Raw genomic sequence first — 18228 nt, 5'->3', positions numbered from 1 at the left:
TTGAAATGAAGGAAAAAGTGTTAAGGGCAGCCACAGAGAAAGGTCGAGTTACCCACAAAGGGAAGCCCATCAGACTAACAGTGGATGTCTTGACAGAAACCCTACAAGCCAGAAGAGATTGGCGGCCAATATTCAACATTCTTAAAGAAGAGAATTTTCAACCCAGAATTTCATATCTAGCCAAATTAAGCTTCATAAGAGAAAGATAAATGAAATACTTTACAGACAAGCAAATGTTGAGAGATTTTGTCACCACAAGGCCTGCCTTAGAAGAGCTCCTGAAGGAAGCACTTAACATGGAAAGGAAAAACTGGTATTAGCCACTGCAAAAACATACCAAATTGTAAAGACCATCAATACTATGAAGAAACTGTATCAACTTATGGGCAAAACAACCAGCTAGCATCATAATGACAGGAAAAAATTCACACATAACAATATTAACCTTAAATGTAAATGGGCTAAATGTCCCAATTAAAAGACACAGACTGGCAAACTGGATAAAGAGTCAAGACCCCTTTGTGTGCTCTATTCAGGAGACCCTTCTCACGTGCAAAGATGCACCTAGGCTCAAAATAAAGGGATGGAGGAAGATCTACCAAGCAAATGGAAAGCAAAAAAAAAGCAGGGGTTGCAATCCTACTCTATGATAAAACAGACTTTAAACCTACAAAGATCAAAAGAGACAAAGAAGGCCGTTACATAATGGTAAAGGAATAAATTCAACAAGAAGAGCTAACTGTCCTAAATATATATGCACCCAATACAGGAAGACCCAGATTCACAAAGCAAGTCCTTAGAGACCTACAAAGAGACGTAGACTCCCACACATTAATGGGAGATTTTAACACCCCACTGTCAATATTAGACAGATCAATGAGACAGAAGTTTAACAAGGATATCCAGGACTTGAACTCAGCTCTGCATCAAGTGGACCTAATAGAACTCTCCATCCCAAATCAACAGTATATACACTCTTCTCAGCACCACATCACACTTATTCCAAAATTGAACACATAATTGGAAGTAAAACACTCCTCAGCAAATGTAAAAGAACAGGAATCACAACAAAACTGTCTCTCAAACCACAGTGCAATCAAGTTAGAACTCAAGACTAAGAAACTCCCTCAAAAATGCACAACTACATGGATACTGAGTAACTTGCTCCTGAATGACTACTGGGAAAATAACGAAATGAAGGCAGAAATAAAGACGTTCTTTGAAACCAATGAGAACAAAGACACAACGTACCAGAATATCTGGGACACATTTAAAGTAGTGTGTAGGGGGAAGATTATAGCACTAAATGTCCACAAGAGAAATCAGGAAACATCTAAAATCAACACTCTAATATCACAATTAAAAGAAGTAGAGAAGCAAGAGCAAACATATTCAGAAGGCAAGAGATAACTAAGATCACGGCAGAACTGAAAAACATAGAGACACAAAAAACCCTTCAAAACATCAATGAATCCAGGAGCTGGCTTTTTGAAAAGATCAACAAAATTGGTAGACCACTAACAAGGCTAATAACGAAGAAAAGACAGAAGAATCAAATAGACGCAATAAAAAATGATAAAGGGGATATCATCACCGATCCCACGGAAACACAAACTATCATCGGAAAATACTATAAACACCTCTACACAAATAAACTAGAAAAACTAGAAAAAATGGATAAATTCCTGGACACATACACTCTCCCAAGTCTAAACCAGAAAGACTTGAATCTCTGAATAGATCAATAACAGGCTCTGAAATTGAGGCAATAATTAGTAGCCTACCAGCCAAAAAAAAATGCAGGACCAGACAGATTCACAGCCGAATTCTACCAGAGGTACAAAGAGGAGCTGGTACCATTCCTTCTGAAACTACTCCAACCAATAGAAAAAGAGGGAATCCTCCCTAATTCATTTCATGAGGCCAACATCATCCTGATAGCAAAGCATGGCAGAGACACAACAAGAAAAGAGAATTTTAGACCAATATCCCTGATGAACATCGATGCAAAAATCCTCAATAAAATACTGGCAAACCGAATCCAGCAGCACACCAAAAAGCTTATCCACCACGATCAAGTGGGCTTTATCCCTGGGATGCAAGGCTGGTTGAATGCATGCAAATCAATAAATGTAATCCATCACATAAACAGAACCAAAGACAAAAACCACATGATTGTCTCAATAGATGCAGAAAAGGCCTTTGACAAAATTCAACAGTCCTTCATGCTAAATATCTCAATAAACTAGACATTGGTGGAACATATCTCAAAATAATAAGAGCTATTTATGACAAACCCACAGCCAATATCATACTGAATGGGCACACACTGGAAGCATCCCTTTGAAAACCAGCACAAGACAAGGCTGCCCTCACTCACCACTCCTATTCAACATAGTGTTGGAAGTTCTGGCTAGGGAAATCAGGAAAGAGAAAGAAATAAAGGGTATTCAATTAGGAAAAGAGGAAGTAAAGTTGTCCCTGTTTGCAGATGACATGATTGTATATTTAGAAAACCCCATCGTCTCACCCCAAAATCTCCTTAAGCTGATAAACAACTTCAGCAGAGTCTCAAGATACAAAATCAATGTGCAAAAATCACAAGCATTCCTACACGTAATTAACAGATATACAGAGAGCCAAATCATGAGTGAAATCCCATCCACAATTGCTACAAAGAGAATAAAATATGTAGGAATCCAACTCACAAGAGATGTGAAGGACCTCTTCAAGGAGAACTACAAACCACTGCTCAATGAAATAAAAGAGGACACAAACATATGGAAGAATATTCCATGCTCCTGGATAGGAAGAATCAATATCGTGAAAATGGCCATACTGCCCAAAGTAATTTATAGATTCAGTGCCATCCCCATCAAGCTACCAATGACTTTCTTCACAGAATTGGAAAAAAACTACTTTAAATTTCATATGGAACCATAAAAGAGCCTGCATTGCCAAGGCAATCCTAAGCCAAAAGAACAAAGCTGGAGGCATCATGCTACCTGACTTCAAACTATACTACAAGGCTATAGTAACCAAAAATAACCAAAACAGCATAGTACTGGTACCAAAACAGAGATATAGAACAATGGAACAGAACAGAGCCCTCAGAAATAGTGCCACATATCTACAACCATCTGATCTTTGACAAACCTGAAAAACAAGCAATGGGGAAAGAATTCCCTATTTAATAAATGGTGTTGGGAAAACTGACTAGCCATATGCAGAAAACCGAAACTGGATCCCTTTCTTACAACTTATACAAAAATTAATTCAAGATGGATTAAAGACTTAAATGTTAGACCTAAAACCATAAAAACCCTAGAAGAAAACCTAGGCAATACCATTCAGGACATAGGCATGGGCAAGGACTTCATGACTAAAACACCAAAAGCAATGGCAACAAAAGCCAAAATAGACAAATGGCAACTAATTAAACTAAAGAGCTTCTGCATGGCAAAAGAAACTACCATCAGAGTGAACAGGCAACCTACAGAGTGGGAGAAAGTTTTCCAATCTACCCATCTGACAAAGGGCTAATATCCAGAATCTACAAAGAACTCAAACAAATTTATAAGAAAAAGACAACCCCATCAAAAAGTGGCCAAAAGATATGAACAGACACTTCTTAAAAGAAGACATTTATGCAACCAAAAGACACATGAAAAAATGCTCATCATTACCAGTCATCAGAGAAATGCAAAGCAAAACCATAATGAGATACCATCTCACACCAGTTAGAATGGCAATCATTTAATGGATTTAATCATTTAATCATTAAGTCAGGAAACAACAGATGCTGGAGAGAATGTGGAGAAATAGGAACACTTTTACACTGTTGGTGGGAGTGTAAATTGGTTCAACCATTGTGGAAGACAGTGTGGTGATTCCTCAAGGATCTACAACTAGAATTACCATTTGACCCAGCAATCCCATTACTGGGTATATACCCAAAGGATTATAAATCATGCTGCTATAAAGACACATGCAGATGTATGCTTATTGCGGCACTATTCACAATACCAAAGACTTGGAACCAACCCAAATGCCCATCAATGATAGACTGGATTAAGAAAATGTGGCACATATACACCATGGAATACTATGCAGCCATAAAAAAGGATGAGTTCATGTCTTTTGCAGGGACATGGATGAAGCTGAAAACCATCATTTTCTGAAGAACAGAAAACCAAACATGGCATGTTCTCACTCATAATTGGGAGTTGAACAATGAGAACACATCACACACTCGGGCCAGTCAGGGGGTGGGTGGCTAGGGGAGGGATAGCATTAGGAGAAATACCTAATGTAGATGACGGGTTGGTGGGTGCAGCAAACAACCATGCCACGTGTTTACCTATGTAAAAATCCTGCACGTTCTGCACATGTATCCCAGAACGTAAAGTATAATAAAAAAAATTTTTAAAGAGTACTTCAAAAATAATAATATTGAGTCTTCTGAACAATAAACATAGCATATCTTTCCACTTATTTAGATCTTTAACTTTTCTTAGCAGTGTTTCATAGTTTTCAGTCTCGCACAGGTTATGTCAGATTTATTTCTAAATATTTCATATTTTTGATGCTATTATAAATGGAATTATATGTTTTATTTTAATTTCTGATTGTTCACTGCTAGTACATAGAAATACAATTGAGTTTACATTTTGTTCTTGTAAAAAAAGAAAGAAAGAAAGAAAGAAATGGCATCTGGTCATCTACTTTAAGTGGAAAAAAAAATGGCCTGAAGTAAGAATGTATACATATTTCTAAACAGTGGTCAAAGGCCTACCTACATAATTAGAAGTCTGAAAGGAAAACAACTGGAAGATGGAAGACAAAGGAGTTTTGTGTAGAGGTATGTTGACATATACATGTGAATGAGCATTAAGTGGAAGGATTTTTGCATTATGTATTAATACCCATTAGAAATCATCTTCATGAAGATGCACTGAACAAACATACAGACAAAATGACTAATCCAGCTGGCATTAGCTAAATTTTGTATTTTGACCACCACAGAGCTGGCATCATGGGCACATGCATAGAATGAGCAAGGTGGCAGAGATAGAGGTTAGGCATAGGCTCAACAGCACTGACTCTATCTTATCAAGATCTACCTAGCTATTGCTGCCTCTCTAGGTCCAACCTGCAGGCAGCAAAATTATTACTAAATCCTAATAATATACTATTCTTCAAGGAGAGCAGTCAGCCACTTGGTGGTTAGTTGAATGCACTGGGCTCTTTTTCTCCTGGAAGAGTCAATGGTTCAACCTTTTAGAGAGAAATGTCTACGCTAGATATGGGTTTACCTTTCCTGTCCATGAAGACTCAACCGCATCACTATAGGGGAGCTTACATAATACTTGTGAGGTTTGAGAGTGGGTCTATGAGTATGAGATCTACTGGTCATATCACACACCACATAATCTAGAATCAGCCAGTACGACAGAACTGTGGAATGATCGGCTTAAGACACAGGTGAAATGACAGCTTGCCAGCAACACTCTACAAGGATAGGATTCTATTTTTAAGGATGCAATATATGAATTATAGCAGAGACTTCTATATGGTACAATGTCCCCAATAGAAATGAAACATTGTTCTGGGAACCAAGGAGTAGAAGCAGGATGGCCCCACTTATCGACACTCCAAAGGACCCACTAGAGTACTTTGTGTGCCTGTTTCCACAACTCTCAGCTCTTCAGGATTGTATGTCTGGATCCCCAATGAATTTACTTTTCTTTGGGATTACAAACATGGTCATGTTGAACTGCAAGCTACAGCTTCCACCTGGATTCTTTAGACTCCTTGTATACAGGGACTAGAAGATGAGGAGTCAACACTGTCAGTGGGTTATTGACCCTGATCAGCAGGAGGAGAATAGGCTCCTTTTACACAATGATGTCAGAGATAAAATGTGCGACACTTAGGTAATGCTTTTTATCACTTTTTAGTACTTCCATACCTATTGTGACATATTCAACAACTCTGAGAAAGGAATGGTTATCAAGGACTCAGTCATTTTAGGAAAAAATTGTTGGGTCCAATGACCAGGCAATCCATCAAGAACTGCTGAGTTTATAATAGAAGTGGGAGATAAATAGCAGTTGTGGCCTAAGACTAAATACAGAGATCACAGCAGCAGATTGTCCCATTTAGCTCTCCCTTCTGTGTTTCTCTGCAGTAATAAAGGCTGACAGGAAACATGGATGAGATGCTCCATAAACATATACGGAGAAATAGAAATGTGCAGCTCAAGAGATTATATACAGTAGCATGGAGATGCACCACTCAGATCTCTTTCAATAGAATTTGAAGCAAAGATCATAGTTTACACTGCTACTCCAATGAATTCTGAAACTACACTTACCTAGTGCTGCTCTAAGTCAGTGAAGAAATACAGTGGGCTAGTAATGCTGGCTCATTCTTGCCCTTAGGGGCTCTATATAAGCCTGCTGAAACTTCACCAGAACTGTGCTGTGGCATGAGATTTTCTCATGCAATCCTTTCTTCCCTCTCTTCTTTTGAAGGTATCATACTTGAATCACAATCTTAAAGCTCTTTTTGCCTACTCATGCTTCCTCTTCCATTATTTTTATATTTAACATTCATTTTTCAAGGATGTTTCACCAATAAATTTCATTCACATCTAGTCCTATCCTGCCATGTGCTCCTCAGAAGATGAAAAATGGCATACAGGACATGGCAATTACTCCTCTACATATGGAGATTAAATGTCTATCAAACTCACCCATCTACCAAGTAATAAAAGACTAATAATTTTTAAAATTTTATATGAAGGAATCAAAGAATTATCAGGAACATGATCCTGGACAAAAAGAAAACACTTATAGGTAAGCCTCACATTCACACTGCTTCACATTACAAGGCATTTTTCAATTCGTAAATCCTAGCCAAGTGGTCAGGAAGCTAAACAGAGACTTTGGATATCTCAATTAACAGGTGAAGCAAAAGTTATAGCTCAGGGCCCACCAAGGTGGAGGATAACCCCCTGGCTTTAAGTTGAGATTGTCAAGTAGATACACTCAAAGAGTAAAATTAAAAATAAGCTCTCAAGAAGATTAAAAGCAACCTTCGTTCAGTTTAATCATTGACTGTATTAAGATAGTCTGACTCTACCGTAACTACCTCCCAGAAACAAAAGTTAATCATCTCCAGAAGAAGATATCACAATTAAGAGCCTGAAATTATATTTGCAACTTTTTATACAATGTCCAAGATTCATGAAAAAAATTGTAAGATATACAGATTTTTTAAATGACCAAAATATCAGAGAAAAATACTCAAAAGAACATATTCACACCAGTTTCAGATATTGAAGTTATCAGAAAGAGACTTTAAAATAACTGTGAAAAATGCACTCAAAAAATAGTGAACAAAATAAAGAATTTTATCAGAGAACTAGAGTCAATAAAAAAGAATCAAATGTAAATTCTATAACTGAAAAATTAAAATTAAGAATTTAGGAGACGTACGTACCAATGGAGAGTGAAAAACATGATTATTGAAATGGAAGCTAAGTCATAGAAAAATATTCAGACCGAAGGATAAGAGAAAGAGATGAAAAACATAAAGAGAGAGAGAGGAACAGAGACAAAGTAAACAGAGAGAGATCAAGAAAGAGGAAATAAGCTATAAACAGGATATCATGGAAAGATATAATGTATTTTCAATTGGTGTCCCATGCAGAAAGAAGAGATTGGGGCAGAAGTATTACTTTAAAAGAAAATATAATAGATAATTGCCAAGAATTTTTCTAAACTAAAGAAAGATGTCATCAAGCCACAGATTCAAGAAGTACTAAAAATCTCAAGAATATGCCTACAAATAAGATCACACCCAGGCATGTTCATAGCAAAAGTGCTTTAAATAAAATTCAAAGAGAAAAACTTAAAAATCACAGAGAGAAAAACACACTACCTCTAAGTGGAATCAAGGAAAGCCACACAACAATAACATAACATTCTTAAAATATTAAAAGGAAATAATTTCCAACCAAAAACTTAACAGCCAATCAATTTATGTTTTTAGGTAGAGGCAACATAAGACATTTCAGGCAAAGAAAATTTGAGGGAATTTATGACCAGCCAAAGTAAAACCCTAACTAATAGAAATATATTTTTTTCAAGTAGAAGGAAAATGATCTCAGATGGTGAGAAAAATGAAATGCAGAAATAAAGAGCAATAAAAAGTAAAATTATTTAAATAACTTTGAGTAAATATTGATTTTATGAACAATGACAATAATGCTTTTTGAGATTTAAGAGATTTGAAGTAATGCTTAACAGAATGTAATAAAACAAAAGGCTAGAGTGTGCCATTCTGAAGACCCTAAATTATCTGACTATTGAAAATATATTAATTTATATGATATTTTAATAAGTCGATAATTCACATTGTCACCTCTGGGATGAAAAATATATTAGAAAAAGTATTTAGTTAGCAAGCTAATGGGGGGGAAACTGTTAACGACAAAACACACACACAAACAAACAATTCAAATGTAATGCAAAAGAAGTTGAGAAAAAAGATAAACTACAACAGATGTGACAAAGAAAACATATAACAATATAACTAGTTTAAACCCAAACAGATGATTAAATATGTTAAAATATAATAGATTAAATGGTCAAATTAAAAGACAAAGATTATCATGTTGGAAAAAAGTACATGTAGCTTACATGAGATATAATTTAAATATAGAGATTAGAAAGTTTGAAAATACTTATTCCTTCTACATAACTATAATTATGAACCTATTAACCAACCTCTGCCAATAGCACAGTAGGGTGACCATAGTTATCAATAATTTATTGTATGTTTCAAAATAGCTAAAAGAGCATTTCAAATGTCCTCAACACAAAGAAATAAATGATGGAAGTGAAGGGTATCCCAGTTACCCCGATGACACAATGTATGCATGTATCAAATATTACCTGCATCCCATAAATACATACAATTATTATGTGTCAATTAAAAATGATTTTCTTTATTTTTGGAAGTAAAAACATGGAAAAGATGACCCATAAAAATGTGAACAAAAGAATAGCTGTATAGCTATACTGATAACATGAGATTGAATTTAAGAAAATAAATATTACTGTAAGTAAAATAGGATGCTCCAAAATAATAAAAGTATCAGTTCACAACAAATATATCGTTCTAAATTGATGTGTATCTAATCATAATGTCAATATATGTGAGGCAAAAGCTGACAGAACTAAAAAAAGTAGATATTCACAATTAGAGTAATTTTAATGAGTCTCAGTAATTGATTAAACAAATCATAAAGATATAGATGATTCCATTAACAAGATAAATCTAGTGAAATATGTAGAAAACATCAGTCAGAAATGCAGGATACATTTCTAAATATGAATAAATTAAACAAGACACTCTTTAACAAACATTGGGTCAAAATGGAATTCAAAAGGGAAATTAGAAAATATCTCAAGACAAACAAAAACAAAAACACAACATACCAAAATGTAAAGGATACAGCTAAAGCAGTACTAAGAATATAGCTTATAGTAATAAGTGTCCACATTGAAACACAAGAATTATCTCAAATTAAAACCCTAACTTTACATTTCAAGTAAATAAATAAATGAATAAACTAAGGCCAACGTTAGCAGGAAGAAGAAAATAATAAAGAATAGAAATAATAAATAGAGAATAACACAATAGAAAACCAACAAAACGAAGAATAATTTGAATAGATTTTAAAAATCAGAAAACTTTTAACTAGACCAATAAAAAAAGACAGAAGACTTAAATAAGTAAAATCAAAAGTAAGAGTCATTACAACAGATGCCACAGGAATAAAAAATAATACTTCTAATTTTACAAAGCCAGCATTACCTTGACACCAAAGCTGAAAGGTCACTGCCGATGAAAATAGATGCAAAAATCCTCAACAAAGTATTTGGAAATTGAATTTAGCAACACATTAAAAGAATCATTCACCGTGTTCAAGTGGAATTTATCCCTGGCATGCAAGGATGATTCAACCATCACAAATCAATATATGTGATACATCACATTAACAAAATGAAAACTAAAAATTGTATTATCATATCAATAGATGCAAAAAAAGAATATAACAAAATTCAGCCAACTTTTATGATAAAAACTCTCAACATATTAGGTATAGAAGACATATACCTCAACAGAGTAAAGACCATAGATAACAAACACATAGCTAATATCACTCTTGATGTTGAAAAGTAGAGAGCTTTTTGTCTGAGATCATGGACAGGACAATAAAGCCCACTGTGACCACGTCTTTTCAATGTAGTATTGAAAGTACTACCCAGAGTAATTAGGCAAGAAAAAGCGATAAAAGACTTTCTAATAGAAAAGGAAGAAGTGAAAATTTCTCTATTTGCTGATGACACGATCTTATGTATGGAAACTCTAAAGACTTCACACACAAAAAACTGTTAGAACTGAAAAACTAATTCTGGAAAGTTGCAGAATACAAAATCAACATACAAAAATCAGTAGCATTTCTATACACTAGTAGCAAATAATTGGAATGATAACAAAAAAATATTTTAACAACAACAAAAAATACACCCTAATGTGTAAATTTAATCAAAGAGGTAAAAGACCTGTATAATGAAAACAATAAAACATAGAAAACATTGAAAAAATAGAAAATAAAAATGGAATGATATTTCATATTCAGGGATTAGAAAATTAACATTGTAAAAATGTTCACACTACCCAAGGCAATCTACAGATTCAATGGAAATCTTGGCAGGATTCCAATGTCGTTTTTTACAGAATTTAAAAAAAAAAAAACTTAAATTTGTATGGAACTACAAAAACTCTGAATAGCCAAAACAATCTTTAGCAAAAATAACAAAGCTGGAGGCATCACACTCACTAATTTCAAAACATATAATGAAGCGATTTTAATCAAGACAGCATGATTAATTACAAAGAAAAGGACATATCAACTTTTGAAACAGAATTAGAAAGCAGGAAATAAACCCACAAATTTATGTTCAATTGATTTTTGACAAATGTGTCAAGAACACACAATTAGGAAAAAGTATTTTCAATGAATGGTGCTGAGGAAAACTGGGTATCCACATGAAGAATAATGAAACTGATCCCTCTATCTCTCAACATAAACAAAAATAAACTCAAAATGGATTAAAACTTAAATCTAAGACCTGAACCTATGACACGACTAAAAGAAAACTTAGGAGGAATGCTTTATAAAAGTATACTGGGCAACAACTTTTTTTGATATGACCCCCAAAACACAGGCAATAAAAGCAAAAATTGGCAAATGGGATGCCATCAAACTAAAATAACTTCTGCACACCAAAAGAAACAATAAACAAAGTAAAGAGGCAACCTACAGTGTGTGAAATAATTTCTGCAAACTATACATTTGATAAGGGAATAATATTCAAGATATATAAGGATCTCAAACAACGCAATAGCAAGAAAACAAATAAATCAAATAAAAAATAGACTAAGGGCCTGAAAAGACAATTTGCAAAAGAAGACATATAAATGACCAATAAATATATGAAAAAAATGCTCAGCATCACTAATCATTAGGAAAATGCAAATGAAAACCAATATGAGATATCACCTAACACCTGCTAATATGTCATTGATCAAAAAGATGGAAGGAAACAAGTGTTGGTGAGGATGTGGAGAAACTTGTACATTGTTGGTGGGAAAGTACATTAGTACAGCCATTATGGAAAACAGTATGGTGATTCCTCAAAAACTAAAAATACAATAGCCATATGATTCAGTAATCGCCCTAGTGGCTATATTTCCAATGGAACTGAAATCAGTACAACTAAGGGATATCTGCACTGCCATGTTCATTTCAGAATTATTTCCAATAGTCAATGCCATGGTTTGGATATTTGTTTTATGAGAGTTTTTTTCAACTTTTATATTAGGTTCAGAGGATACTGTGCAGGTTTGTTACATGAGTAAATAGTGTGTCATTGGGGTTTGGTGGACAGTTTACTTCATCACACAGGTAGTGAGCCTAATACCAATAGGTAGTATTTTGGTCCTTACCCTTCCCCAACTCTCCACCCTCAAGTAGGCACTGGTGTCTATCATTCCCTTCTTTGTGTCCATGTGTACTCAATGTTTAGCCCCAATTATAAGTGAGAACAAGTTATATTTGGTTTTCAGTTCATGCATTAGTTTGCTTAGGCAATGGCCTCCAGCTCCATTCACGTTCCTGCAAAATACATGATTTCATTCTTTTTATGGCTGCATAGTATTCCGTGGCATGTATGTACCATATTTTCCTTATCCAGTTCACCATTGATGGGCATCTAGGTTGATTCTATGTCTTTGCTATTGTGAACAGTGCTGTGATGAACATATGTGTGCATGTGTCTTTATGGTAGAACAATTTATATTCCTTTGGTGGTATATCAAGTAATGGGATTGCTGGATAAAATGGTAGTTCTGTATTAAGTTATTTGAGTAATCTCCAAACTGCTTTCCACAGTGGCTAAACTAATTTACATTTACACCAACAGTGTATAACCATTCCCTTTTTTCTGAAACCTTGCTACCATTTGTAATTTTTTGACTTTTTAATAATAGCTGTTCTAACTGCTGTGACTTGGTATCTCATTAAGGTTTTGATTTGCATTTCTCTAATGATTAGTGATGTTGAGGTTTTTTTATATGCTTGACGGATGCATGTATGTCTTCTTTTGAAAAGTGTCTGTTCTTGTCCTTTGCCTATTTTTTTTAAACAGAGTAGTTTGTTTTTTTGCTTGTCGATTTAAGTTCCTTATAGATTGTGTATATTAGACCTCCATCAGATGCATAGTTTGCAAACATATTCTTTCATTCCCTAGGTTGTGTGTTTACTCTGTTGATAGTTTCCTTTGCTGTGTAGAAGCATGTTCGTTTAATTTCTGGTGGGTTTCTTGTGGTATTTTATTGTGGTTTAATTTGCATCACCCTGATGACTAATAAGGTTGGCTACTTATTTGTAGGTTTAATGGCTATATTATTACTGTCTTTTGTGAAGTATCCGTTCAAATATCTTGTCTATTTTTCCCCAGAGTGTCTATTTTTTTATCAAAGGGTACAAAGTTTCAGACAGACTGAAGAAATAAGCTTTAAGATATATTGCACAGCAGGGTGACTATACTCAATAATAATGTATATCTCAAAATAACTAAAGGAGTTTAAATGCCTCACCAAAAAAAAAAAAATGATGAGTGAAGTGATGGCTATGTTAATTAGATTAATTTTTTATATTATATATACACATATATGTATTAGTATCACATTATACCATTTAAATGTATATAATTATAATTTATCAATCAAAAATATTAATAATAAAAATTAAAAATAAGACCTTTTTTAAATAATATGAGTTTATTAAAGTATCAAAAGGAAAGGCACAGGGAAACAATATATTTACAATATAATAAAGATATCATATTGAGAATATGTAAATAATTTGCACAAGTAAATAGGAAAAAGATAGACACTGTAGAAAATATAGGCAAGATATTTGAACAGACACTTTACAAAAGACAATAATAATATAGCCATTAAGCCTATAAATAAGTAGTCAACCTTATTAGGAAGCTTACAGTCATGGTGGAAGGCAAAGGAGAGTAGGCACCTTCTTCACAAGGAGGCAGGAGAGAGAGCACGCACAGAGGAAAAATTGCCACTTTTAAAACCATGAGATCTCATGAAAACTCCCTCACTATCATGAGAACATGAAAGCATGGGGGAAACTGCCCCCATGATACAATCACCTCCCACCAGATCCCTTCCTCTACATGTGGAGATTACAATTCAAAATGAGATTTGGGTGGGGACAAAGAGCGGAATCATATTAACATACAAATAGTAAAACATCCAATGCTCATGAATAAAAGAATCAATATTGTTAGAATGACTATATTGTCCAAAGCACTCTACAGATTCAATGCAATTCCTATCAAATTACCAACATCAATTTCCACAGAATTAGAAAACACAGTTCTAAAATTCATATTGGGATGGGCATGGTGGCTCACACTCGTAATCTCAGCACTTTTGGAGAGCAAGGCAGGCAGATAGATTGAGCCCAGGAGTTCAAGACCAGCCTTGACAACATGGCAAAACCCCATTTCTACAAAAAAATAGAAAAAATAGCTGGGCGTACTAGCATTCACCTGTAGGCCCAGCTACTCAGCAAGCTGAGGTGGGAAGATTTCTTGAGCCCTGGAGGCAGAGGTCCCAGTGAGCCAAGATTGTACCACTGCATTCCAGCCTGGGTGACAGAGCAGGACTCTGTCTCAAAAATAAAAATAAATATCTTGTAGCACCAGGAAAGAGCCTGAATAGCTAAAGCGGTTCTAAGCAAAAATAACAAAGCTGGAGGCATCACATTACCTGACTTCAAACTATGCTACAAGACTATAGTAACCCAAACAGCATGACCGGTACAAAAATGGACACACAGGTCAATGAAACAGAGAACCCAGTAATAAGGTCACATCAGTACAACCAAGTGATCTTTGACAAAGTCCACAAAAATAGACAGTAAGGAAAGGACACCCTATTCAATAAATGATGCAGGGAAAACTGGCTAGCCATATTCAGAAGAATGAAACTGGACTCCTGTCTTCCACCACATACCCAAACTAACTCAAGATGGATTAAAGACATAAATGGAAGAACTGAAACTATAAAAATCCTAGGAAAAAAAAAACCTAAGAAAAATCTTCTGAACATTGGCCTAGGAAAATAATTATGATTAAGACCCCAAAAGCAAATGCAATGAAAACAAAAATAGAAGAATAGGACTTAATTAAGCTAAAGAGCTTCTGCACAGCAAAAGAAACAATTGACAGAGTAAACAGACAACCTACAGAATGGAAAAAAATATTTGCAACTTATGCATCAAACAAAGGAATAATATTTAGACTTTATAAGGAAATTATATCAACAAGAAAAGAACAATATTCTCATTAAAAAGTGGGCAAAGGACAGGAACAGATATTTCTCAACAGAAGACATATAAGCAATCAGCATATATAAAAAAAATGGTCAACATCACTTAGCATCAGGGAAATGCAAATTAGAACCACAGTGAGATACCACCTCGCACCAGTCAGAAGGGCTATTACTACAAAGTCAAATGCAGAGAAAAGGAAATGCTTATGCACTGTTGTTGGGAATGTAAACTAGTTTAAACCCTATATAAAACAATATGGAGATTTCTCAAAGAATAAAAAACAAAACTACCTTTTCACCCAGCAATTCCACTACTGTTGAAAACATAAACTAGTTCGACACCTATGGAAAACAGTATAGAGATTTCTCAAAAAATAAACTACCTTTTGACCCAGCAATTCCACTACTGGATATCTATCAAAAGGAAAAGATATATCAAAAAGACATCTGCACTTATATGTTTATTGCAGCACTATTCACAATAGCAAAGTAATGGAATCAAACTAAGTGTCCATCAATAGATGACTGGAAAAAGAAAATGTCGTACATATACACCATGTACATGCACTACAAAGCCATTAGAAAAAGAAGTCATGCATTTTGCAGCAAAATAGATGCAGCTGAAGGCCATTATCGTAAGTGAAATAACTTCAAAACAGAAAATGAAACATCGCACGTCCTTACTTTATAAGTGCGACCTAATCAATGAGTACACATAGACATAAAGATGAAAATAATAGACAGAGAGAACTCCAAAAGAAAGGTGGGAGGGGAAAAAAATTTGAAAAACTACTTATTGGGCACTATGTTCACTACTTTGGTGATGCATTCACTAGAAGCCCAAACCCCACCATTACATAATCTACCCATGTAACAAACCTGCACATACACCCCCGAATGTCTGAGAAAAAATAAAATAAAATAAAAACAAAAATTTGAAAATACACATGATGTTAGGTTAGTAGTTATTAAGGTAAAGAGAACAAACTGTGCTTCTGGGTGCTTGGTAGTGTTCTGTTTCACAGTAGTCTACTTTATGAAAATTTATTCTGTGTTAAATATTAAAAGCAGTTATTATAAATATACTATATCATACAAACTACCTTCTCTGCTACGTAATTGTGGTTTAAGATAATATCATAATGGTAATTATCAAACACATAGAACTGAAAAAAATTTCCACTAACAATTCGTAAGTATAGCCATCCCTCAAGTGTGTTTCATTGTAGTCAGAAAAAATCTCAGGTCTAGAAATTAATTTAAAGTTGTCTCAGATTTGTAGTGTCCTCTTTCAATAGTCATGAAAGTGAAAATCTTTCAGGAATAACTTATTTTCCATTTAGGCCACACAGAATTTCCAAAAATAAAATTCCAATGAAAATGAGAAACATATATTTTAAAATATTAAAACAAACAAGTAAATAAGACACTATGAGAGACAGCAGAAAAAAATAGATAACAGACTTAGAACAATAAAGATTTCAGATACTGAATTGATTAGACAAGAATATTAAAAAAAAAACATGTTTGGTTGGACTCAGTGACTCATGCCTGTAATCTCAGCCCTTTGGGAGGCTGTGGCAGGCAGATCACCTGAGGCCAGGAATTTGAGACTAGCCTGTCCAATATTGGGAGACTCCCCATACTAATACAAAAATTAGTTGTCCATGGTGCTGCACTGTGGTCCCTGCTACTCGGGAGGCTGAGAATCTCCTGAATCCAGGAGGCGGAGGTTGCAGTGAGTTGGGACTGCACCACTGCACTCCAGCCTGCACAACAGAGCAAGACCCTGTCTAAAACAAAGAAAAAAAAGTTTGCTAAGTTTAAATAGATAAAAATAAAAACTTGAAAATATGAGTAAGAAATAACCATACCGAGTTGAAAAGAAACAAACACAATATCGAAAAATAAAAACTATAGACATTGAACGTTAAAATTTAGTGAATGGATTAAACAACAAATAGTTGCACACATCAAAAAGCATTAAAGAACTACACAATACATCCAAATAAATCATCTAAAATATATTTGACAAATATAAAGAAGGGGAAAATATGAAAGAAATACAAAGACATGGAGGATAAAGTGAGACAGTGTAACATATATCTAATCCAAATGCTTAAAGGACATCAGAGAGCTAATGAGGAAATAAAATACACAGAAAGATAATAACTGAGAATATTTCAATATTTTCTTTTTTGAGACAAATTCTGGCTCTATCACCCAGGCTGAAGTGCAGTGGCCCTATCTTAGCTCACTGCAACCTCTGCCTCCTGGGTTCAAGCCATCCTCCCACTTCAGCCTCTCAAGTAGCTGTAACTACAGGCACACACCACCGTGCCTACCTAATCTTTGTATTTTTTGTAGAGACAGAGTTTCGCAACGTTGTCCAAGCTGGTCTCGAACTCATGAGCTTAAGTTACCTGCCTGCCTCAGTGTTACAAAGTGCTCGGATTACTGGCAGAAGCCACCATGTCAAGTCAAATATTTCAAACTTGTTGAAGAATAAAAATCCTCAGATCTAGGAAGCCCAAGAAATCTCACTGAAACTAAACAAATATTATAATCTACTTTATTCTTAGTTTTAGATACATAAATGGTAGGAAAATAAAATTTTCCCAAACTGAGTCAAGGAAATACAAATGTATACATGAATCAAAACATTACATTGTGCCTCAAAAATATATACAATTACTATTTGTCAAAAAAGCCTAAATAGTCCACTAACCTTGAAAATAACAAATCAGGAATTTAAAATTTGCCTACTAGAAAAATAGCACATCCAGTTGGATTTACAGGTGTGCTACTTACATATTCATTCAATGGAATATTACTCTTCTATAAAATGAAATAATTTGAGTTATATGTAACAATATAGATGAATTTTTACCAACATCATGTTGAATAAATAAAATGGGAAAATATTTATAATTCCATTTACCTGAATTTCAAAAGCAGAAAAAATTAAATAACATATTTTTAAATGAAAACTACATAGGAGCTATAAATGTATGGAAAAACAAGAGGGAAATATTATTACAAAATTCAGAGAGCTTTCTTCACCTGGGAGGGAAGGGGATTCAATTAGATGGAGGGAAGGGTATTCAATTAGATAGAGGCATATGACAGACTGTTAAATACTGTTCATATTCCATTTCTTTTTTTATTATTATACTTTAAGTTCTGGGATACATGGGCAGAACGTGCAGGTTTGTTACATAGGAATAC

This window comes from Homo sapiens, chromosome X, assembly GCF_000001405.40.
Source record: "Homo sapiens chromosome X, GRCh38.p14 Primary Assembly".
Classification (NCBI taxonomy): domain Eukaryota; kingdom Metazoa; phylum Chordata; class Mammalia; order Primates; family Hominidae; genus Homo; species Homo sapiens.
The sequence above is the reverse complement of the archived record's forward strand: the minus strand, read 5'-3'. Positions refer to the sequence as shown.